The sequence below is a fragment of the Homo sapiens genome, chromosome 9 (genome assembly GCF_000001405.40).
Source record: "Homo sapiens chromosome 9, GRCh38.p14 Primary Assembly".
Taxonomy (NCBI): domain Eukaryota; kingdom Metazoa; phylum Chordata; class Mammalia; order Primates; family Hominidae; genus Homo; species Homo sapiens.
The window spans coordinates 18,163,779-18,190,253 of record NC_000009.12 but is presented as its reverse complement, the minus strand read 5'-3'; the positions used below and the strand labels follow the sequence as shown (position 1 = coordinate 18,190,253).

The 26,475-nt window shown below is 37.5% G+C and overlaps 1 protein-coding gene across 10 annotated transcripts in view; it reads right to left on the bottom strand.

Moving 5' to 3' along the window:
• Positions 1–26,475, bottom strand: part of ADAMTSL1 (ADAMTS like 1) — a 1,004,318-nt gene that overhangs the window by 720,697 nt on the left and 257,146 nt on the right. For all 10 annotated transcript variants that reach the window (XM_011518064.4, XM_017015312.3, XM_011518063.3 and 7 more), the window contains one exon: positions 26,273–26,392. In XM_011518064.4, coding sequence (XP_011516366.1) covers positions 26,273–26,392 — 120 coding nt within the window. The remainder of the gene's footprint in view (positions 1–26,272; positions 26,393–26,475) is intronic.

The following is a 26,475-nucleotide window of genomic DNA, read 5'->3' as shown; positions in this document are numbered from 1 at the left end:
CCTTATGAAAATAAGCTGTCTTCTTAGTTGCTGGAATTTGAAAGCAAAAGCTGACACTAAACCATTTTGATTAATCTATGACATAGTTGGAGGACTATGCTACACTTCATTCCCCTGAATTTCTGAGCTTCTGTGACTATTGTATCACATTATGCAATGTGCAGTGCTGGATCCCCTTAGAGGTTACTTATACAAAAACATACATTTCATTTGAAACCTGACCAGGCTCATTCTTGTTCTAGATAGATTCATTATGACAACCTTTAATTGGGCAAACTGCCAAAAAGCAGCCAGTTTAACAGGCTCTTTTAAAATGCAGCACACAGACTAATATGCTTATTTGACTTACTTGTTGAGAATGACTTATTGAATAATACATGCTAGAGTACAAAAACCTTTCAAAAGGTAGTTCTCAGAGAGTTTAAAAGTCCACAGAACTGGCCAGCATAAAAGAAAGAAACTTGAGGAGTTTTTTTTAAAAAAACATATCTTGCCAAACACAGTTCTATAATAGAGTGGAAGACATGTATAATGGTGGGAGCTGAAGGAGTTAATTTCCTAGTAAAAATTAGTTGCTATCAGGCTTTTACCCTATACAGTTGCAGGGAGCTCCATGGATGAGGAATAAGAAGGGCATACATATTTCAAACTATGACATATCTGTAACTTTTAAGTTTTATTTATTTATTTAATTTTACCAAATTGGGGGTGGAAAAGGGCGTTAAATCTTGCCCTCTGGAATATATAAAAAGGCTTCTTAGGTTTGTAGGAACTGGCCTGATATAAGAATTTGTATTTGCTTGCTAGTTGTCTTGAGAAAAATCTTATACAGACACCACATAGCCTTCTATAGAACCAGCTTAGATCAACTGGGAAGTCTGCTGCTTTGTGAATGACAATGGTAAAATTTATCTAATACTTAAGGTTTTTTAATTAATGAAATTAACTCAAACAAATTTGCAGTGTGACTATCCACAGCCATTTTGAGAGCAAATTTTCTCTACGATCTCAATTAGAACAATGTTCTCATGCATCCCCTCACTCCCCAGCTCCCACCTCAGTTGGAAGCAGTACACAACTCAGCCTGGCAACTGTGGAGTGGAACTAATTCCTTCCTCTTAACGCCTGTCTCCAATTAGCTGGTGGGAAATATAAACGATTTACTTAGGATACAGCTTTTCCCATTTACTCAAGCCTATTACCATTCTCATCCAAGCATTGCTCAGCCACTAATTGTCTTGGGAACCTGTACAGCGATAAAGAGCACAAAGGTGCTAACAGTGTGACCTAAGCAAGCTATTTAACCTTCCCAAGCCTCAGTTTCCTCACTAGTTGAATGGAGATCCTTTCTGCTTCACACTCTTGTAGCGAATGAAAAACGATGCCAACAGCCCTTAATGCTGCCTGGCCCATAACGGTGTTCAGCAAATTAATCATCATCATCAAATACATAGGAAAATAGATAAGCAGATAATTACAAAACAATAAAGTAAAGAAACCATAAAGAATATGTACAAAATATAGTGAAAGCACCAAGGAGGGTTGACCCATGAATCTTCCCTTTCTAATATCCCCGGCAGTTTGCTGCTGCCAGAATCCATTCAAGTAGCTTTGTCAATAAAGAACTCACCACCTAATGGCGCAGCTCTAATTATTGCACTATTTTCCCTTAAAAATATATCTGAAAATCCTCTAAGAGTTGTCTTCCAGTGATTTTCACCTATTTGCATCCTTTCTCATCTAGTAAAAGTAAATTCATCTTCTAGAGTATACCTATTTGAAGACAATTATGTTCCCAGATAGCGTCTCATCAAAGGTCACTTGCATAGTTCATGTTTTCATTTGCCACTGAGGAAGCACAAGGGATAAGCCAGACAGGAAAGACCCCATAGAATTCAAAATCCCAGGAACTTCTCAATTCTACTACTGACTGAATGCCAGTGCCAACTAATTCCTAAAGACTGCCGGTGTGTAGGGTTGAGTGGGACTCTGAAGGATGTTCTGGAACCATATGAAAAAGTAACACAATCAACTCCAGATTTTACATGAATGTATGTGTTGGGGGGAAAAGGAGTTGTGCTGGTGGTGGGTGTACCAACTACTTATCATCTGTGTTAAACAGCCTCTCAGCTTTCCTAGGGTTTCTCTTTTTTTGTGCCTCAAGGAGCAGGCATGATATTTTGTTTATCTTCCGTCCCTCTGTACCTAGCTCTAAGGATGAATGAATAAATGGCTTTATCACATATTTTTCACACTCTACAGTACCCATCAAAACCTCATGTTCTTAAATTTCAGTAACATAAGCAATAGATATCACAAAAATGTATAAATGGCATTTAAATAAATTTTTTGAAACACGGGATATATACATTGCATAATTATACATGACATATTTTTATTTCCTTCTTAGTGACAAGATAAAATATGTCTCTGAATTAGCAAATGAAGTCCAAGTGAACTGTAAGAATAACTTTCATTTTCCTTCCTTCCCTACCTGCTTTTTTTCTGCCATCCTTCCTTCTTATTACATATTTATTGTATAATTTTAAATTACAAACTTACTATTTTATCCTTGTTACAGGGAAGAAAGTCCAAATATATATTAAAAAGAAGCCAATAAATTCCAACTTTTCTTGTGTACCCAAATAAATAATCTGGCTTCCTTTTTTATGTTTCTCTATGATCATATAAATGTATACACATATTTAAATTTTTTTCTTTCTTTTTATTCCAAAACAGGGACCACATTATACACATTACTGTGCAATCTTATCAAGATCTTAACTATATTTGGGTATTTAAGCCCTTTAGATCTTCAAATAAATCATTTAAAGACTGAATAGTCCCAATGTGAACCTATGGACAGGTCAGGTTTACACCTTTGAAATTCATTTAAAATCTGATGCAGTTTTTCAGAGTAACAATACCTTAAATAGGAGTTATTTAGCTTCAGGGCTCCAGGAACAATGATAAACATTGTGTTTTCACCATCATCTATAAGGACTGTACTCCATGGAGAGTAGTTACTAGAAAGAAGATAATGACAAGGGCTTCCCTGTGTGCCTAGAACTCTGCATCAACAGAGAGAAGTTAGTTAGGCCCATGACTGAGGGGCTGCATCACTCCAAATGTGAGTTACTTACTGGGAACACCACATGACAGTTGCTGATGAAAATGCAGCATGGTGACCCAGAAACAATTTTGCTCTCAAGAGATGACCACTTCCACTAGTGCTATCTTTCCACTGAAGTATTCCAGAGTTAGACATGGGATTTAGAGTTGAAAGTCTTGAGTCTGGGTCCTGGTTCCACCATTTACCAGTTATGGGGTACTGGACAAACCCATCCTTATCGTCAATAATATATATGTTCACGTTTGTGTGTGTTTGTGCATGTGTGTGTGTGTGTGTGTGTGTGTGTGTTGTACAGTGATAAGAAGGCACTGCTGGCACAATATGATAATAATAATTTCCCAGCATGACCAATGACCAAGAAGATCAAGTGACTGGATGCAAGGAAAAGTGTTTTATAAAATGTGAAATGCAATTCCAAATTACAGAAAGAGATCCCGCTCAAACTTTTCATCCTACAGATCTCATTAAACATGTTAGACAACTTTTATTTTAAATCAGAACCAATCACAAAATATATTGCAATAATTTTTTTAAGCAGTTCTGTCAAAGGGACTGAAATGCAAAGTCTACTTTTATGGTGGGGCATTACATACCCATTCTACAGTCGGCAAAATGAAGTCTCAGGCAGGTGACATGACTAGGATGTATTTGGGTAGGGACTAGGCAACAAAGCTTCAAATTCCTGATCAAGGACATTGCCAGCATTTACTCACATGATATCATCCTACTTCAAATGTCAAGAGATGCAGAGAAGACCAAAAAAAGCAAACCTCAAGCAAGTTTATAGGAAGGTTATAGAAACATGCTTCAAGTTTTGTGCTTTTTTAAAAATAAGAACTCAATAGTAGTTGTTTCCTTACTAGCTGTTTCACAGACCAAGAAGATCTCTTCCTCTCATACCTTACAATCTAAGGAAAAACCAGCCTATGGTCCACAACCATCATTAGCCATTCTGTCTTGTTTACAATTCCAGGAATATTTTCTCCTTGGAAGCAGAGGCCAGGTTGTCCAGGCTGCACAGAAATACGTGGTACTTGAATTCTCAGCTCAAGCTTTTATCATAACTTAAAATATTTACTTACTATTCTATAAGGATTTTGACATATCACACTGTGAGAAAGGGATATGTAATTCTTTGACCATAAATACTTATTTTATGATGCCTTCATTTAATCCTAGAGTAAATTTTAAATTCTCAAACTATTCCATGTTCCATGGTCAAACACATCCAACGCCACATCAATAATTGTGAAACTTTTTTCCCAATTGTATTACATAGATCTCTACCTTCTTGTACAGCATGTATTTTACATGACATAACCAATGCTTGTAAACTTGGAGTCATAATTATGCACACATTTGTTACTCAATTATGCTTTCAAAGATTATACTGATGTATAAAGCTATTCATTTCTATACCAAATTGATTTAGACAGCTAGTGTTTTTTTAATAATTTCTCGATAATTTTGTCTCCTTGTCAGTTGTCTCTTCTCTCGTTGCTATCAGTACCTACCTGATTCAAGTAGCAATGTCTTTGTTTCATAGTTTAAGAAACCAATTGTGTTAGTTTTCCATGCTGCATAACAAATTACCACAAACTTAGTGGCTAATAATAATACACATTTATAAATTCACAGTTTCTGTGGGTCAGGACCGTGTGCATAGCTTGGCCAGGTGCTTTGCAAGGCTGAAATAGAAGTGTCAGAAAGGGCTGGGTTCTCCTCTGATGACTCATCAGGGGAAGTGTTTACTTCTTAGTTTACAGGTTGTTGGAAGAATTCATGGCCTGTGGCTGTAAAACTCATGGTAGCTGGCTTCTTCAAAGCCAGTAGGAAGGAGAGCAAGACTCTCAAGCAAATCTTCTAGTATGAGGGTGTCTTACACAACATCATCAGAGGAATAATATCCTGTCGTCTTTGCCATATTCTATTGGTTAGAAGCAGTCACAGATTCTGCCCACACTCAAGGGAAAGGATTATGAACACCAGGCTATAAAGACCAGGAGGTGAGGATCATAGGGGCTACTTTAAAATCTTTGAGCCATAGAGATTAAATACCCCCAATCTGAAAATCTGACATCCAAAATGCCCTAAAATACAAAAGACTTCTGGTGCCAATCATTTCAGAGAAGGGAGATTCAACCTGTGTCAATTAATCAACCTGCTTAGTATGAAATGCAAAGTTAGAACAATAGACCCAAAACAGGAGACCAAAGGGCCTTTCGTGAGTTAGTTACAGTGATTTTTATGACTGCCATTTTAATTACTTTCTGAGTTTGGCCATGTTCTGAATAGTCCAGGTATTTAATACGTGATTTTTAGATATACGGATGAAATCTCAAGCCAGAGGTCACTACTTTCAAGAAATAATATTGCTGCCTCATATTTTTTTCTTCTATAGATGCGTTGTGAAAATACTGATCAACTCTCTGTCATTTCTACATGAGACGAGTTTGTTATTCAGTGGATTGAGGGAATCTCTGGCTAATGTTCAGTTACTAAAGAATGCCTACTCATGGCAGTAGGCCAGGACAAGGCACTTGGCTATGGTGAAATTCCAATGACAACAGGCAAAATAAAAGCGGAAGTTTCCCTTCTTTACTCACTCCAAAAAGCAAAAATCCTATCCTCTTATCATATCCTCTTAGGTATTTAACTGCCTATGGAAAATTTTGATACTGGTGATTAAAAAAAAATTCTTGTAAAAGTTTTGTGTAGGAAATACTTGAATAATCCTAGATAAACTTGAGAAAAATTGATATTTCCTTCACTGCAGCCACCAGTCTGGAACTTGTTTAAGTTAGTTTCCTCTTCCAGGCACGAGAAGTTCAGCTCCTTATCCCTCCTTTGGTACACGAGGCAGAGGTTATAGGTAAAGTATTTAGTGTGCATAACAATTTTACACCACAATTGCTATCAGACTTTACACTCTTTGGAGCAGTTATCTGGTGAACAAGAAATATATGCAGCAAGTGGAATGAACTTTGGAATCCATTCAAAGAAAATGAAATGCTTGTCACTTCTGTCAGCATTTGTTACATTTCGGAATTATCTGTTGGATGATGAACTAATCTCTCCCTCTTTTAGACAGCACTGGGAAATAAGACAACAGGGTGAGTTTATTCTATGACCAAACCCTATCTGAAAAACAATGTCTCAGATTTAAATTACCGTTGAAACTTCCTTCCCTAGTCACGGTATTTAATTAGTTTGCGCTTGTTTCAACTATATAAAATTTAATTTCTCAGTGCAAATTCAAAATAATAGAAAAGTTATCCATACAAGAATCTTCAAGCTGTAATTAGAATAGTAAAGTTACGTCCAATGTCATCCAACCTGTAAATAAAGACTGGTTTATTCTTTTTTACATAAATTACTGAATGTTGCACATAAGTTAGAGTGGCATGATGTCAGCGTTTGGATTTTGACCATTCTAATAGATGTGTAGTGGTATCTCACTGTTGTTTTAATTTGCATCCCCCTAGTGACATACGATGTATAGCATATTTTTATATGCTTATTTGCCAACTGTATATTTTCTTTGGTGAGGTATCTGTTAAGGTCTTTGGCCCATTTTTGAACTGGATTGTTTGTTTATTGTTGAGTTTTAAGTTCAGTATATTTTAGATAATAATGCTTTTTCAGATGTCTTCTGCAAATACTTTCTCCCAGTCTGTGGTTTGCCTTTTCGTTATCTTGACATTATCTTTTACAAAGAAGAAGTTTTTAGTTATAGTGAAGTCTTGATTATCAATTATTTCGTGAATCATGCCTTTGGTGTTCTATATAAAACATCATCACTACACCCAATGTCATCTAGGTTTTCTCCCATGTTATCTTCTAAGAATTTTTTAGTTTTGTGTTTCTGTTTAGGTCCATAATCCATTTTGAATTAATTTTTGTGAAGGGTGTAAGGTCTATGCCCAGATTTAATTTTTTGCATGTGGACATCCAGTTGTTCCAGCACCATCTGTTGAAAGACTGTCTTTACTTCACTGTGTTGCGTTTGCTCCTTTATCAAAGATCAGTTGGGGAGGACACTTTTGGCAGAAAGAGAAAGTCTGATTACCTGGCAGGCAATAACATATAGGAATTAATGGCTTTAGAATCATCTAGGTCTAGTTTTGAACCCAGTAACACCTTATTACTAGCTATATGATCATTACAGCCAGATATTTAAGCTGGTTCAGCTTCAGTTTCCTTACTTGTAAATGAGAGTCCATGGCTCCTGCTTCAGTGTTTAGAGGCAGCATATAGTGCAGTATAGCAATCAGGACTATGGACTGTGGAATCAGGCTGCCCGAACTGTAACCCGCATTCTACTACCTACAAAGCATGTAACCTTGATAAGGTGGTTAATCACTCCGTGCCTCAGTTTTCTCATAAGATTATTTCTGATATGATCTGAAATGTCTGCCATTATGTCACATTCATAACTTAGTGTCTGATAAATAATAAATGTGTGCTGCTGCTGTGTTCATCACTATTATTATCACTACCTGCCACTCTGCAGTTCAACCATTTATCTCTCACTTTGCCTTACAGGCCAGCATCAGGCATAAAGTATTACTGTGGGAGCATTTCTCCTTATATAAACAGAGCCACAAGACATGTTGTGAGAGCCTCCACTCTTTTTTAAACTATTGTCTTTATATTCTAGAGAATAAAGTTTTTGAGTCTTTGTTTTCCCTTCTTAAACTGTATAGACCACAGGATTCTTTTTAAAAATCAACATGTAATTCATAGAAGTCATCCTTCAAAGGGTATACAATTAAGTAGTTTTTAGTATATTGTGTAATCATGACCACTATCTAATTCTTCTTTTTTTTTTTTTTATACTTTAAGTTTTAGGGTACTTGTGCACAATGTGCATGTTTGTTACATATGTATACATGTGACATGCTGGTGCGCTGCACCCACTAACTCGTCATCTAGCATTACGTATATCTCCCAATGCTATCCCTCCCCCCTCCCCCCACACCACAACAGGCCCCAGAGTGTGATGTTCCCCTTCCTGTGTCCATGAGTTCTCATAGCTCAATTCCCACCTATGAGTGAGAATATGCGGTGTTTGGTTTTTTGTTCTTGCAATAGTTTACTGAGAATGATGATTTCCAATTTCATCCATGTCCCTACAAAGGACATGAACTCATCATTTTTTTATGGCTGCATAGTATTCCATGGTGTATATGTGCCACATTTTCTTAATCCAGTCTATCTTTGTTGGACATTTGGGTTGGCTCCAAGTCTTTGCTATTGTGAATAATGCCGCAATAAACATACGTGTGCATGTGTCTTTATAGCAGCATGATTTATAATCCTTTGGGTATATACCCAGTAATGGGATGGCTGGGTCAAATGGTATTTCTAGTTCTAGATCCCTGAGGAATCGCCACACTGACTTCCACAAGGGTTGAACTAGTTTACAGTCCCACCAACAGTGTAAAAGTGTTCCTATTTCTCCACATCCTCTCCAGCACCTGTTGTTTCCTGACTTTTTAATGATCGCCATTCTAAATGGTGTGAGATGGTATCTCATTGTGGTTTTGATTTGCATTTCTCTGATGGCCAGTGATGGTGAGCATTTTTTCATGTGTTTTTTGGCTGCATAAATGTCTTCTTTTGAGAAGTGTCTGTTCATATCCTTCGCCCACTTTTTGATCGGGTTGTTTGTTTTTTTCTTGTAAATTTGTTTGAGTTCATTGTAGATTCTGGATATTACCCCTTGGTCAGATGAGTAGCTTGCAAAAATTTTCTCCCATTTTGTAGATTGCCTGTTCACTCTGATGGTAATTTCTTTTGCTGTGCAGAAGCTCTTTAGTTTAATGAGATCCCATTTGTCAATTTTGGCTTTTGTTGCCATTGCTTTTGGTGTTTTAGACATGAAGTCCTTGCCCATGCCTATGTCCTGAATGGTGTTGCCTAGGTTTTCTTCTAGGGCTTTTATGGTTTTAGGTCTAACATTTAAGTCTTTAATCCATCTTGAATTGATTTTTGTATAAGGTGTAAGGAAGGGATCCAGTTTCAGCTTTCTACATATGGCTAGCCAGTTTTCCCAGCACCATTTATTAAATAGGGAATCCTTTCCCCATTGCTTGTTTTTGTCAGGTTTGTCAAAGATCAGATAGTTGTAGATATGCGGTGTTATTTCTGAGGGCTCTGTTCTGTTCCATTGATCAATATCGCTGTTTTGGTACCAGTACCATGCTGTTTTGGTTACTGTAGCCTTGTAGTATAGTTTGAAGTCAAGTAGTGTGATGCCTCCAGCTTTGTTCTTTTGCCTTAGGATTGACTTGGCGATGCGGGCTCTTGTTTGGTTCCATATGAAGTTTAAAGTAGTTTTTTCCAATTCTGTGAAGAAAGTCATTGGTAGCTTGATGGGGATGGCATTGAATCTGTAAATTACCTTTGGCAGTATGGCCATTTTCATGATATTGATTCTTCCTACCCATGAGCATGGAATGTTCTTCCATTTGTTTGTATCCTCTTTTATTTCCTTGAGCAGTGGTTTGTAGTTCTCCTTGAAGAGGTCCTTCACATCCCTGGTAAGTTGGATTCTTAGGTATTTTTTTTTTTTTTTTTTTTTTTGACACGGAGTCTCGCTCTGTCACCCAGGCTGGAGTGCAGTGGCGGGATCTTGGCTCACTGCAAGCTCCGCCTCCCGGGTTCACGCCATTCTCCTGCCTCAGCCTCCCAAGTAGCTGGGACTACAGGCGCCCGCCACTACGCCTGGCTAATTTTTTGTATTTTTAGTAGAGACGGGGTTTCACCGTTTTAGCCGGGATGGTCTCGATCTCCTGACCTCGTGATCCGCCCGCCTCAGCCTCCCAAAGTGCTGGGATTACAGGCGTGAGCCACCGTGCCCGGCCTTAAAGTCTGTTTTATCGGAGACTAGGATTGCAACCCCTGCCTTTTTTTGTTTTCCATTTGCTTGGTAGATCTTCCTCCATCCTTTTATTTTGAGCCTATGTGTGTCTCTGCACGTGAGATGGGTTTCCTGAATACAGCACAGTGATGGGTCTTGACTCTTTATCCAATTTGCCAGTCTGTGTCTTTTAATTGGAGCATTTAGTCCATTTATATTTAAAGTTAATATTGTTATGTGTGAATTTGATCCTGTCATTATGATGTTAGCTGGTTATTTTGCTTGTTAGTTGATGCAGTTTCTTCCTAGTCTCGATGGTCTTTACAATTTGGCATGATTTTGCAGTGGCTGGTACTTGTTGTTCCTTTCCATGTTTAGCGCTTCCTTCAGGAGCTCTTTTAGGGCAGGCCTGGTGGTGACAAAATCTCTCAGCATTTGCTTGTCTGTAAAGGATTTTATTTCTCCTTCACTTATGAAGCTTAGTTTGGCTGGATATGAAATTCTGGGTTGAAAATTCTTTTCTTTAAGAATGTTGAATATTGGTCCCCACTCTCTTCTGGCTTGTAGAGTTTCTGCCGAGAGATCCGCTGTTAGTCTGATGGGCTTCCCTTTGAGGGTAACCCACCTTTCTCTCTGGCTGCCCTTAACATTTTTTCCTTCATTTCAACTTTGGTGAATCTGACAATTATGTGTCTGGGAGTTGCTCTTCTCGAGGAGTATCTTTGTGGTGTTCTCTGTATTTTCTGAATCTGAATGTTGGCCTGCCTTGCTAGATTGGGGAAGTTCTCCTGGATAATATCCTGCAGAGTGTTTTCCCACTTGGTTCCATTCTCCCCGTCACTTTCAGGTACACCAGTCAGACGTAGATTTGGTCTTTTCACGTAGTCCCATATTTCTTGGAGGCTTCGCTCGTTTCTTTTTATTCTTTTTTCTCTAAACTTCCCTTCTCGCTTCATTTCATTCATTTCATCTTCCATCGCTGATACCCTTTCTTCCAGTTGATCGCATCGGCTCCTGTGGCTTCTGCATTCTTCACGTAGTTCTCGAGCCTTGGTTTTCAGCTCCATCAGCTCCTTTAAGCACTTCTCTGTATTGGTTATTCTAGTTATACATTCTTCTAAATTTTTTCAAAGTTTTCAACGTCTTTGCCTTTGGTTTGAATGTCCTCCCGTAGCTCGGAGTAATTTGATTGTCTGAAGCCTTCTTCTCTCAGCTCGTCAAAGTCATTCTCCGTCCAGCTTTGTTCTGTTGCTGGTGAGGAACTGCGTTCCTTTGGAGGAGGAGAGGCGCTCTGCTTTTTAGAGTTTCCAGTTTTTCTGCTCTGTTTTTTCCCCATCTTTGTGGTTTTATCTACTTTTGGTCTTTGATGATGGTGATGTACAAATGGGTTTTTGGTGTGGATGTCCTTTCTGTTTGTTAGTTTTCCTTCCAACAGACAGGACCCTCAGCTGCAGTTCTGTTGGAGTACCTGGCCATGTGAGGTGTCAGTCTGCCCCTGCTTGGGGGTGCCTCCCAGTTAGGCTGCTCGGGGGTCAGGGGTCAGGGACCCACTTGAGGAGGCAGTCTGCCCGTTCTCAGATCTACAGCTGCGTGCTGGGAGAACCACTGCTCTCTTCAAAGCTGTCAGACAGGGACATTTAAGTCTGCAGAGGTTACTGCTGTCTTTTTGTTTGTCTGTGCCCTGCCCCCAGAGGTGGAGCCTACAGAGGCAGGCAGGCCTCCTTGAGCTGTGGTGGGCTCCACCCAGTTCGAGCTTCCCGGCTGCTTTGTTCACCTAAGCAAGCCTGGGCAATGGCGGGCGCCCCTCCCCCAGCCTCGCTGCTGCCTTGCAGTTTGATCTCAGACTGCTGTGCTAGCAATCAGCGAGACTCCATGGGTGTAGGACCCTCCGAGCCAGGTGCAGGATATAATCTCCTGGTGCGCCGTTTTTTAAGCCCGTCGGAAAAGCGCAGTATTTGGGTGGGAGTGACCCGATTTTCCAGGTGCCGTCTGTCACCCCTTTCTTTGACTAGGAAAGGGAACTCCCTGACCCCTTGTGCTTCCCAAGTGAGGCAATGCCTCGCCCTGCTTCGGCTCGCGCACAGTGCGCTCACCCACTGACCTGCGCCCACTGTCTGGCACTCCTTAGTGAGATGAACCCGCTACCTCAGATGGAAATGCAGAAATCACCCTTCTTCTGCGTCGCTCATGCTGGGAGCTGTAGACTGGAGCTGTTCCTATTCGGCCATCTGGGCTCCTCTTCCCGACCACTATCTAATTCTAAAACACTTTCATCACCCGCCAAAAATTTTAAAGCCACTGGCAAGTGAATTTTGTATTCATCGTGCACACTTGGGGGATTTTATTCAATTATTGTTTCACCTACTATATCACTGTGGCAGAGACTGTTAGCTGCTCACTCCAGTACCCATTCTCCCTTCTTCCTTAAGCTAGCTGTATGGCTGCCCAGATTCCCCTGCACCTAGGCATGGGTATGTAACCAAATCCTTGCCAGTGAGATATAAAAAGAAAGTGAGTGACAGCAACCGGAAGATCTCTTACAAGCCAGCTAATATGCACCGTTCCTCCATTTGTCCTTTCCTCTTTCTCACTGGCTGGAATATAGGTGTAATGACTGGAGCTCTGGTGCCATTTTGGATCACCAAGTATCCTTGCGAACGGGAGGCATGGATGACTTAGAAGGAAAGTAGAATAAGCTGTGTCCCTAGCACCTTTGATCATACTGGTCCTGAAATTTCTATCTCTGGAAAGTTTCTTTTACATAAGGAAAAAACAAATGTCTATTTTCACGCCACTGTCTGGGGAAGTTTCAGGCACATACGGTGGACTTAATATTAAATGACGCAACGTTTTAGCCACATTTCCATCAGTGTCATGCATTATTAATTGCCAGGAAGTTAAGGTACATAAAAAGCTAAGGCGAATTTCTTCTACTATTAATAACAATTATACCAGATTGGTGTCCAGCACACAACACCATAGTTTTCAACAACTTACTTAGCTTCCTATACACATTCTCCACACATGCATTCATTCATTCTTTGGGGCATATGTAATACATAAAGATGAACAGTCCCCATAGAAACTTGGTACACTAGCCAGCACTGGTAACTGGTCCTACATTCAAACCAATTTACTAAATTGTACTTTCTAAATGGAGTCAGGAAGCCATCTAAACATACATATGTCAATGCTCAAATCCATTAAAAGGCAATTGAGGGTGCAAAGCAATAGCCCTATGTGGGAATATAATTGCAAACTATAATAATGTCTACCTGAAATTTTCTGTGCTCATCAACTCCTTTGAACCTGCTTCATATGTAACTGAGTTTAAGACTTCTTTAATAAAATCAAGCGCTGTTTCTGAAGATTTTCCTATTAACAGGATGATATATCCTGAATTAATGATACTGTATTCTAAGTACTTTGCCATTATCCCAGTGAGCTGACCTAAAAACAAAAATATCCCAACAGTTAGAATTAAAATGTTAACATTCTGAACTCCTAGAAAGTATAGACTACTTAACTCATTTTTATATCCCCTGTTAGTACCTATACTATGGTGCTGAGTAAAGTTGATGCTCAGTAAATGGTTGTTAAGTTGAATTCCTGTATTCTTTAAATTGCATCATTTTAACAACTTAAGTAACAGATCTTTGTGACCCTGGAAAAACTGCTTTTCATTTCTTCTTCCATTACGAGAGGGAAATGTTACCCTCTCTCTAAGATTAATGAAGATATGTATTCAAAGTGCTTAAGGCAGCACGTGATACAGAAGAGGGTAATAAATGACAGTTACTATCATGATAGTCAATAACTATAATTATTATTATTGTTACCAAGATTGTTATTAATACAGTTATTATCACTATAGCATCAATAAATGATATATACTCCCATTACTATTGCTCACATTTTAATAATTATTACTATTGTTGTTACTATTTTATTATTTTTACCCTGCTTAAGATTCTGTTCCATGGGCTGGAAAAACAAAGTAGTGTCAAACATATTCCTTGCTTAAAAATACGCTAGGGCAAATGATCTATATGTATAAAATGATAAGTAAAGTTGCAAAATAGGAGGGTTTCAGTCTCCAGCAGCACGCTACAACAAATTGACAACATTCTTGAAACAAGACCACAGACTTATTTCCTAGTCTGAATTTTTTAATTACCTTGTGTCCAACTGCACCTCTAGCCAAACGAAACCTTTGTTTGCCTTTTTTTTTTTTTTTTTTTTTTTTTTGCTTTCCCTCTTCTTAGCCCCTTCCCTAAATCCTACCCTCTGAAATCTCAATATACCTTCTTCTTTTCCCAGACTTGGACTAAAATTCCCTTCTTGGTCTTCCATCTCTGAAGATTAAGAGCCTGGTACTAGACTGCCCCTCAGCCTGAGTCAAGGATTCTCCATATCTGTGTAGAGTCTTCCAGGCAGCCTGAGGAGGCATGCCATGGGCTGGTTCCATGAGCAAAGATAGTGAGACCCATAGGACTTTGGAGAGACAAGGCCACCCTGAGGACCAGAATGAGAGCTGGCTTCCTGGAGCAGGTAGGACTTGGATTGAGTTAAGAAAGGAAAGTCTAGAGAGTAGGGAAGGAAGACATTCCAGGCAGAAGAAGTCCTGTGAGCAAGGCACTGAACTGATAATATGATATGAAACAAAAAGTGGTCTCAGAAAGTTGAAGCTAAGAAGTTCTAAATGGATATTGTCAGAAGCAAGATTAGAGTTAAGTAGGAATCAGACTAAGGTGTTTTGATGTTAAATTGTGTTTCAGGAATACGACATCCCAAAAGCACATAATTAGCTTTGACATACAAGTATCCACTGTGTAAAGAGCAATGTGCATATTAATCGTTACCAATATTATATTGATAAATGCACAGTGTCTGCAGAATGGATGGGCAGCCAGCTGGTGTTTGTGGAGAACTGGGAAGGAAGGTGAGTCTACTAGGAAGAACTCTAAGAATTTAAAGTTTCCATTAAATATCAAATTTGAAACACAATATCTTAGGGTTCAAGATCATCCAGAACATGTTTATTTTAAAGGTCAAGAAGACAAGGTTTAAAGAGTTCTATGACTTGCCTAAAGTCTCACAGCCAGTTGGAAATGAAGCTTCAACCCAACAACACAACCCCTCCTCAGGTTTTCAGCTCTATAAATGCACCTTGATATCAAATCCCACATTTTCAAAGTTGGTGTTAAAATTTAATTATAGATACAGATATTTTCTCTTAGCAAAAGAAACGTTTATATGTTTAAACAATATAGATCTTTAATTCTTTTAATATTCATTTTCTTCCTTGTCAACATCAAGTTGAAACTGAACTTAATAACACACACAAGAAACTAAATTGTTCTCCTTTCCCAAACTTTCCATTGGGTAATAACGCTACCATTTTTTAAATTTAGCAAAATTACGACATTGTTCTCTTACTTAAAAATTACCATTAACAACCAGGGAAAACAGGATACAAATTTTAAAATGAACATTTAGAAATTGCATCACTTAATAATATTATTCTTTAAATAATGTCTTGTTAGTGTTTTACTTCAGTTGGTCAGCCCGATTACAATCTTAGTTTAAAGATGCAAATTTCTACCTACTCTGAAATAGCACTAACTCTAAAAACTAAAAAAAAAGTCATGTGTATCCATATTAGAAAATTTTAAAATTCTAGGAGAGGGTGTGCTGTATCAAAAGGACATTTTGTCACTGCTCACAGCCTGAAGTATCCTCTCATACTTTCTTAAATTTAGGTATCACATATCTGACTTTTGATCATATGATTCCAGAAGGCTGTCTGACCACTCCAGTTCTACTCAGCACCCCTCTGTGCAGACCTCTGATGCCAAATGACCTTGTTCAACCACTAGAAGAATCCCCAACCACTCCTTTTCAACTGCCTTCAACTACTGATGGATGGTGCCTCCATACATGACTAAGTCAGACATGGTCTATTTAGGATAGGCATTTAAACTCAACGCACGGGTTGATAGCTTCAGCATTACCTTACAAACAACTAAGGGACTCCTTGGGAAGATAGTTGCCTTTCCATAAGGTGAATTTGCTCTTTATATTAAGGACATTTAGTACAGGGAAGCAATAAACTATTCTTTGGTGCCTCAAGTGGTTTTCTGAGGTATAATATAAGTCTTATGTTTATGCTTATTAAGACAGTTCCGAAGTTAAGCAGCAAATATCCATCTCCTTACATTTATAACTATACTAAAGATATGTGATATTCATCATTCGTTTCAGAGTGTTCTAGTTTGTTTAACATTAACTCTAAGTGGTGACTAACTCAGGAATTTGAATACTAACCTGAAGAAAAAAAGTTGGAGTTCATGCCTAGCAAGAATTTCTGTAAAACCGAAATTTCACCATTATTGACAAAGTTCTCTTTCGGAAGGGCCTCACAATATGAAACGTGAAAATGCCCCCCAAAAGAGTAATAAAATTCACACGTGTTATTTATGTATTTCTAACTAAATGTTAACATTTTTTAAACCGAATTTTACTCTGTATTTGAGAGGTTGTCTGAGCCTAAAAATCTGTCTGCATTAGTGTTGGGGCTTTTAATGCTTCACATTTTATTACTTCCAATGTCTTCTAGATAATTAATCTTGGTATCTATTTGTTGTTTGGAATAAATGGCAGAATCCTAGCAAATGCAGGACATCTCATAAATAAAAGATAGGGGCTGTGTAAGCTGTAAGGAAATTAGAACTTGATAAAGAAAAAAGAATTATTTTTCCCTTAAAGGATAATGGTTTTCGTTAATTCCAAAGGTCAAGTGTAAAAAAAGAGTCCCTCTCCTTCAGTACTGAGATTCATCATCCTGACATTATTTACTAGAGGCACAGTTCATGAACTCATAGGAGGCCCCATGATGTTGGGTTCTGCTGTCATACTTTTGACTATTGCTTAATTATATTGTGAGGCAAAAATATATTAAATCTTGGGCACCGAGCGTTGTCACTTTATGTTTCAGTGATTTTCCAGTTCAACCACTGCTAATAAAAACAGTTACCATTTATTTTGTTCTATTTGCCAGATATTATCCCAAGTTTTTGTTATACATGCATTATAAAATATCTCAGTCATTAAAGCACACTGAAATAATGAAGCAAATATGTGTGCAACCACTAGCCATTTAAACAAATAGAAACATTTTATATTATCATTTTTAAAAAATCAGTAACACATTATAGATAGGGCTAAAGTGTACTATGCATAGCATCCCAACCCAATTATCTGTCCTCCTCTGCCTAAAGAGGTTAGCGAACATCCCAAAGTTGAAGCATATTTTTCGCACCTCTGTCTTTATATATATTTTCTCTAAATGAAATCTAATAAAGATTTATGTAACATTAAAATGGCAAAAAATGATGCCATGTTGTAAAATGGTATCCCTTCCCCCTGAATATTTTATTTTTGAAATCTATCTATTTTAATACATGTAGATGTGTTATTTATTTATATAGTGTTTATTGTATAAATAAGCAATACGTTATTCTCCCATTTACCTTCTGATGGATATTCATGATTTTCTTTCATTTTTAGGCTATAACATTCAATACTTAATTGAATGTAAGTGTAAGGGCTTCTCTAAGGTAGATTTTTAAAGTGAAATTGCTGGGATTTAGGACATGAATATATTCAACCTTATAGACACTGCCAAGTTGCTCTTTAAAGTGGTTATACCAATTTATGCTCCCACCAGCAGTATAGGAGTGCTTCTCATAACCTTACTTTCTCACTGACAACTGCCTTCGTTGGTCCTTTAAATTTGTTGCCTATCTGATGGGTACGAAATGCTATTTCTGTTATTTTAATTTGTAAATCCCTTATGATGAGTAAGGCTGAGAACCTCTTTCATGTGTATTAGCCATCCATGTGTCCTTCTAATGATTCATTTTTTTCTATTGGGCTGTTCATCTTTTTAAGAATGATCTCTAGGAGTTCTTTTTTTATATATACTTTAAGTTCTGGGGTACATGTGTAGAACGTGCAGGTTTGTTACCTAGGTATACACGTGCCATGGTTGTTTGCTGCACCCATCAACCCATCATCTACATTAAGTATTTCTCCTAATGCTATCCCTCCCCAGCCCCCCACCCCCTGACAAGCCCCCGTGTTTGATGTTCTCCTCCCTGTGTCCATGTGTTCTCGTTGTTCAGCTCCCACTTATGAGTGAGAACATGCTGTCTTTGGTTTTCTGTTCTTGTGTTAGTTAGGTGTGAATGATGGTTTCCACATCTACAACCATCTGATCTTTGGCAAACGTGAAAAAACAAGAAATGGGGAAAGGATTCCCTATTTAATAAATGGTGTTGGGAAAATTGGCTAGCCATATGCAGAAAGCTGAAACTGGATCCCTTCCTTACACCTTACACAAAAATTAACTCAAGATGGATTAAAGACTTAAACGTAAGACCTAAAACCATAAAAACCCTAGAAGAAAACCTAGGTAATACCATTCAGGACATAGGCATGGGCAAAGACTTCATGACTAAAACACCAAAAGCAATGGCAACAAAAGCCAAAATAGACAAATGGGATCTGATTAAACTGAAGAGCTTCTGCACAGCAAAAGAAACTATCATCATAGTGAAGAGGCAACCTATAGAATGGGAGAAAATTTTTGCAATCTGTCCATCTGACAAAGGGCTAATATTCAAAATCTAGGAGTTCTTCATATATTACATATTTTTTTGCCAGTTATGTACATTGCAAAGAATACCTTCCAGCTTGTGTCTTGTCCTTTTACCTTGTTTATGGAATGTTAAAGCATATTAAATTTCTATGCCATTAAAATGTTAATATAATTTAAAGTATAATATTTTCTTTTACAGGTTGTGCTTTTTATGTCCTAGTTAAGTAAATTCTTATACAAGTTCATTTTTAAGTTTTAAGGTCATGCTTTTCACATTTAAACTTTTAATATGTCTGAAATTTGTTTTTATGTAACCATTTATTACATCCTTTACCAATTATCTCTAACAGCACATCTGTGATATACCAAGTTCTTTTTTATATGTGTCTATTTATAGGTTCTTTAGTTATCTATGTTGTTCTATTTGTCTATCTACGTTCTAATATCACACTGTTTTAATTCTTATAGCTTTGTAACAAATAGAGCAACACTCATCCTTTTCTTCTTCAAAATCATTCTGGTTATGCTAGATATGTGGATTAATTTGTGGGGAAATTGGCATCCTCATGACATTAAGACTTCCCATTCATGAACATTTTATATCTCTCCATTTATTAGATCCCATAATCTTTCAGTAAGGATTTATAATTCTATCCTGAGGGATATTGATAAGGTTGATGATGTATTCCTGGTACAATGAAATATAAACACTAACACAGAAACCTGATGACAACAGTAGAGAGAAAGCCTGTCATGTATCCACCACAGTTAGATGCCCAGCTCTCCTAGAGAATCTGTATGTGACACATCCATTCTCTCCAGGGCAGAGCATGGGCTGGCCTTTCTGAGAGGGGCCTGCTAACCAGTAGTTTACTATCTCAAACAATAAAAAATGGAAGCTGTTTGCTATTTAAAACAATCCAGGCTTTTTCTTTCTCTTTCCTCTTTTCTCTTTCTCTTATTTAAATCTGTTTTGCCTTTCTGAGATGAAATTAATTATTGGTCCCATAGGCTTCACGTGTACACAAGTAAATAATGTGGTCTTAATTAACTTTATATCTTTGAGTTATTCGTTAATACTCCATTTTGTACCTCTTTCAGACTTCAGTTTTTATAGTTTTGTTACTACTGTAAGTGGTACCTTTCTAAAATTATATTTCTCCAAGATATTTATTCCATTTTTCATTAAATAGCTCTATATTGCCAAATGTAGATATTTATTTCCTACCTCAGGTTGTTCTGAGAAATACATATACATCCCTTAGTAAAGTGTTTGGTGCATATCCAGCCTTCCCCAGCTTCCTTTTTCCTTTCCATAAAAATGTAGAAATGATTTAGAGTATTAGTTTAGAATACAAAGTAAAATCAGAAAATGTGAAGTTATATGAAATATTTATGTGTGAAACTTAAAGGGTTTTTTATGTATATAGTTCGTTACTGGTAGAGACATAATACATTGGGTAAGTCTTGTAAAATACAGGCAAATAATAACACTTAAAAACCCCACAGGGTAACAGATTTTACAAACTATGTAGGATGTTCTGATTTTTTCTTTGTAATATCATATAACTCAAAGTAGCAAATGTGCTGTAACCAAATCTATGCTTCTTGTCTCCCTGTATTTGCCCAAGGTAGAATTTTGGTAGCCAACTCAAGTTATAGTTGTGAGCATTCCAAAAAACCAAAGATTAAATAGGAATGACTTACCTTTTTAAAACATCTGACCCTTCCAAAATCAATGCACTATTCTCCTTTGCATAAAACTAGTTAAGAGAACTACAAACCACTGCTCAATGAAATAGAAGAGGATACAAACAAATGGAAGAACATTCCATGCTCATGGGTAGGAAGAATCAATATCATGAAAATAGCCATACTGCCCAAGGTAATTTATAGATTCAATGCCATCTCCATCAAGCTACCAATGACTTTTTCACAGAATTGGAAAAAACTACTTTAAGCTTCATATGGAACTAAAAAAGAGCCCGCATCGCCAAGTCAATCCTAAGTCAAAAGAACAAAGCTGGAGGCATCACACTACCTGACTTCAAACTATACTACAAGGCTACAGTAACCAAAACAGCATGGTACTGGTACCAAAACAGAGATATAGATCAATGGAACACAACAGAGCCCTCAGAAATAATGCCACATATCTACAACTATCTGATCTTTGGCAAACCTGACAAAAACAAGAAATGGGGAAAGGATTCCCTATTTAATAAGTGGTGCTGGGAAAACTGGCTAGCCATATGTAGAAAGCTGAAACTGGATCCCTTCCTTACACCTTATACAAAAATCAATTCAAGATGGATTAAAGACTTAAATGTTAGACCTAAAACCATAAAAACCCTAGAAGAAAACCTAGGCAACACCATTCAGGACATAGGCATGGGCAAGGACTTCATACCTAAAACACCAAAAGCAATGGCAACAAAAGCCAAAATTGACAAATGGGATCTCATTAAACTAAAGAGCTTCTGCACAGCAAAACAAACTACCATCAGAGTGAACAGGCAACCTACAGAATGGGAGAAAAGTTTTGCAACCTACTCATCTGACAAAGGGCTAATATCCAGAATCTACAATGAACTCAAACAAATTTACAAGAAAAAACAAACAACCCCATCAAAAAGTGGGCGAAGGATATGAACAGACACTTCTCAAAAGAAGACATTTATGCAGCCAAAAAGCACATGAAAAAATGCTCATCATCACTGGCCATCAGAGAAATGCAAATCAAAACCACAATGAGATACCATCTCACACCAGTTAGAATGGCGATCATTAAAAAGTCAGGAAACAACAGGTGCTGGAGAGGATGTGGAGAAATAGGAACACTTTTACACTGTTGGTGGGACTGTAAACTAGTTCAACCATTGTGGAAGTCAGTGTGGCGATTCCTCAGGGATCTAGAACTAGAAATACCATTTGACCCAGCCATCCCATTACTGGGTATATACCCAAAGGATTATAAATCATGCTGCTATAAAGACACAGGCACACGTATGTTTAGTGCGGCATTATTCACAATAGCAAAGACTTGGAACCAACCCAAATGTCCAACAATGATAGACTGGATTAAGAAAATGTGGCACATATATACCATGGAATACTATGCAGCCATAAAAAATGATGAGTTCATGTCCTTTGTAGGGACATGGATGAAGCTGGAAACCATCATTCTCAGCAAACTATCACAAGGACAAAAAACCAAACACCGCATGTTCTCACTCATAGGTGGCAATTTAGCAATGAGAACTCATGGACACAGGAAGGGGAACATCACACACCAGGGACCCTTGTGGGGTTGGGGGAGGGGTGAGGGATAGCATAAGGATAGCATTAGGAGATATACCTAATGCTAAATGATGAGTTAATGGGTGCAGCACACCAACATGGCACATGCATACATATGTAACAAACCTGCACGTTGTGCACATGTATCCTAAAACTTAAAGTATTAAAAAAAAAACTAGTTAAGAAAAAATATAATGGTCACTAATCAATAAAGCTTTATGAAGTTACAGGCAATTTAGAGCATGTGTACATTTGCGATTAAATGTTAGTTCATTCTTCTCTTTATTCCACAAACAGTTATGGAAGAAGCAATTAGATCACATTTGTTCCTAAACATTCTGTCAGGAATGTGCTGAATGAATTCAAGTGGGAAGATGCTAATGAAAGAGTGAGTCATTCTTCAGTAACTCAAATGTTCCTGACATATTTCTATTTTCTTTGAATTTATGTCCACTAAATATTCTAAAATAGTAGCCAGTTTAGAAATATAATTAAGCAAATTAAATTATCTTCAGGTACTAGTGCTTACATTCTAATATTTCATTTCTATTGACAGGAGTGGGGAGGAGGTTGGTGAGTCCCTCAAGAATACATGGAAATAGTTATATTCCATTTTACTTGAGAATGTATGTATTGGTTGAGTGAATTTTCCAGTTTGTAGAAATAATACTGCCCCACACCAGTTACCTGCCTTGCAGCCAACTAACGGAGAAAATATAATTTACTTTAAAGCAGAATCATTTTTAGTAAATTGCATTTTTTTATTTCAGTTGATTTTCAGCAAATTAATGACTTGCCCTAAAAAACAAACTCTTTACACACTGTGATTAAAGGCAGGCATTTCTGAAGATCTCCTTCTGAAAGCTCACCTCCATTTCACAAAAGACACCTCTATTTTACCAGTCATTCAAAGGAACACTCAACCCCTCAATTGGTATAAATATTTAAATAACTTCTCTTTTATACCAAGGTACAATAGTGGCTTCAATAACCACTGTGTTTACCACAAAGCTACAGGCAAATGAAGTGTACACTAATTACATACTGAAGAAAACCTCATTCTTTAATGAATTTTGTTAATTATCATCCTGTTTTTGCATCCAGCTTACAATCAAAATCAACATGATCTGTGTCTTGACTATTTCAATAACGAATAAAAGCGTTTGACAAACATCTTATTTCTTCTCTGCAAACAATGCAAATCATATACATGCAGAATTTCAGGCAATCACTGGAAGTTTAGTTGACTGCTGTGGCTTCTAGACAAATGGCTCACTTAAATAGCTTCTCAAAGTGCAGAGAACGAAATTAGCCCTCTGAGAGGAAGCTAGCTAGAAAGTTTTTCTAACGCAATGCAAAAGTTAATTCACGCCAATAGGTCCTCGTTGAGAAGGGATTGAGAAAGTATCACTGAAAGGTCAAAATGACCACCTATTTTGGTCAAAATAAATTAATTTTTTAGGTTAAAGCGTGCCACAAATAAGGCAGGCTGTTCTGGTTTTCAAACATTATTTACATTTTTGAAAGAAACTTTTCCGGAAGAATTTTTAGTAAAGAAAGGGTGTGAGAGAAGAAAAGTTAAAGCCCTTAGAATAGCAGTACTTTCACCTGGAGTGAGACATGGTGTTTCCTAGAGTTAATGCTACTTCTGTCCAAAATGCTCTATGTGCTGGGGATACATTTGTTACTTCCACAACTATCAATTTCCAGTTGGCAAACATCCCTGAGTTTACATTACTTATGATAAACCTATATACTGGCTTGAAGAGACGTCGTGACAGATAATCCCAAATATTTTTTTATCACCTCATTAAAAACTGAAGTCATTCATATCATTTTAAGAAGAATGCTTTGCATTTAGAAGGATGTTCACATTTATAAGGCCCTTTTCATGCATATTCCGTGATGGAATTCTCAGTGTTTTCAATATAAAATGTTAACAACAAGGCAATAGAGGATAGGCATGGTGGGTTTTCTCACCACGACTATTCTCTATTCATTTGTGATTAAACCCTCAACACAAATGAGCATTTATCAGAAGCAAGTGCTGGGCTAAATCCTAGGGACCTGAGAATCAACAGAGGTCCTGTCTTCAAGGAGCAGAGCTGCTAATCTGGTAGGGGAGGTGAAACGTGTGCATAAATGTCTTTGGGATACTAGGGAAGACATACTTAAAATCAAATAGGTTTGTACAAACAGAGTATGCTGCTCAACCTTTTTCATCTCTCACTGACTTGCTTTTGTCAAGTGATTCTTGTGACCTATACCAGGAAGGTTTCTTGTTGATTCTCCCATTCTGCTGAAGAGCCTCCTCCCAATAAGACAGAAACTCATAAATAAGGGGCAAGAAAGGGAATTCCACCTTTCTGGTTACTAATACGAGTAGCAACTCATGTTTGAACTCTTCCCCTTGACAAACGGAGATTACGGCGATTCATCTTCTAATGTTGATTTAGGAAATAAAGTTACACTTTCAAAGTTTTCTATCTGTGGGCCAAATGAAGCTCTCACGTATGGAGACACACCTTCCACAGAAATTGTTAGAATTTCACACACTTATTGGGAGACTGAAGTAGCTTCTGGTAGTTGAGAAACTTTGAACTTTTCTTGTTTTCCCCTCTTTTTCTTGTAAAATTCCAGCTTTGTGGAGTGACTACTTGTGTTGGTAGGTAATTTCTCTTTTAGGTAAAACAGGTAAAATGCCTCCACCCACTTAATTACTATGAGTAAGCTAATTATAACTATTAAAAGGTAATTATAAATTACCTTTGAGGAAATTCAACAGCATGGACAGTTTTCATTTTAATGGAAATCAATGTAATATTAGGTAGTAATAATAATGTTTATGACACCCTTTGATGCTTACCAAGTGACAAAAATTGGTTTCAGTGGAACTACTGTGACAATTCCATTATGTCCCTAATTAGTTCATATTATTCAATTTCCTTTATGGCATAAATGATATAATAATTAGACTTGTTTATGAAGTTTTCATGTAGTATCTATATAGCAGCACTTGCCAGGACTTTGCATAAACCAAACTCGATATGAGCTAAAATATTTCAGATTTCGCATAACAGCAAATGGGACAAAATTAAGATATAATTGCAAGATATTTTTCATAAGAAGGAAAAATAAAACTTAGGTGACAATGTGTAGGTCCACAGTAGATCACAAAGAAAGCTGTAAACAAACATAGAAAATTTAAAAGGTAGGCTCTGCATATTCAGGCTTACTGAGAAAAAAAAACCAATATATGAACCATATGAAAATGTATTATAGCACCATTGGGAACCTCCACCACCATTCTTGCTCACACTGGGCCATATGCTTTGAGAAAGATGTGAATGCTCACCATGAAAAAAATGTAAATGACAAAAACAATAAGAAGTGCCTTGTGAATGGCAATGAAGAGAGCCAATTTACTCTGTCTGAAAGAAACACATGTGACACAATATGCAAAAGATACACTCTTGAGAGAGGGCAGTCAAGAGTTAGGGTACAGAAGGTAGAAATAAAGTCACTTGTATGTTTGTTTTGGGGGTATTCTAAGATGTTATTTTCTGCGATCCTACCCTTTTATGTTGGATAAGAAACCCACTAGCTTGTATATACGGCATCCTCTAATTCTAATATGAATACTTCTGAGCCTAAGGTCATCACTATACAGAACCACATTTAGAACTTTCACAAGTTGTCTGTCCAATTCTCACAAAGAAGTCCAAATTACAAATCACAGTTTGATTCGCAAGCAGAGAAAGGCCTGTAATCTTGACATCTCCAGTCAACTGTACTATTGTTTTCATTTGAGAGCTCATTTTCTAGAGTGTTTTCCCCTAAAACCACCACCAGAGAAACAAACTTTCATAAAACAAATATCACTAGCACTTTGAAGTAAGAATATCTACAAAGAAGCCAGGATTGGAAGACAGTGGAATTTCCACTGACCCATAAAACAATCTGGGCTTTACATATAAATCTCCTTATTCCTTCACTTATTTAAATTATTACCATTTCATGTTCAGACTCGCTGGCAAAACATCAGTGTCTTAATGTGAATCCTCCACATGCTGCCCCAAACAAACTTTAACGCTTGAGTAAAATGTTTAAATCTTGCCAGACCCAGGAAAAGTCAGAAAGTTGCCCTATACAGTCTGTCCACTGCCCTACACTTTGCCTCCCCCTCCTCTCACAGATGTGAGAAAATACCATCCAAACCTCTTCAGATTTGCTAAAAACCACCACCACAAGTCAGAATCAGCCATTGAACCTCAGTGTTTTCTGTGAATAAGTAGAAGAAGCGACACTGTACCGAGTCTTCAGTTTTGTGACTATTCAAGAGGTCAGACAGGAAATCTTCATGGAGGCTCTCTCTTCGAATCAGTGTAAATTCCCGCAGGAAAACAGCCCCTTGGCTTTGGTCTCCGCATACCTAGAGAGATAAGGTAGCTGAATTAAGCCTTCAGACAGAGCCTGGAGGGATTGGGCACTGTGCAATTAGTTGCAGAAAGCTCT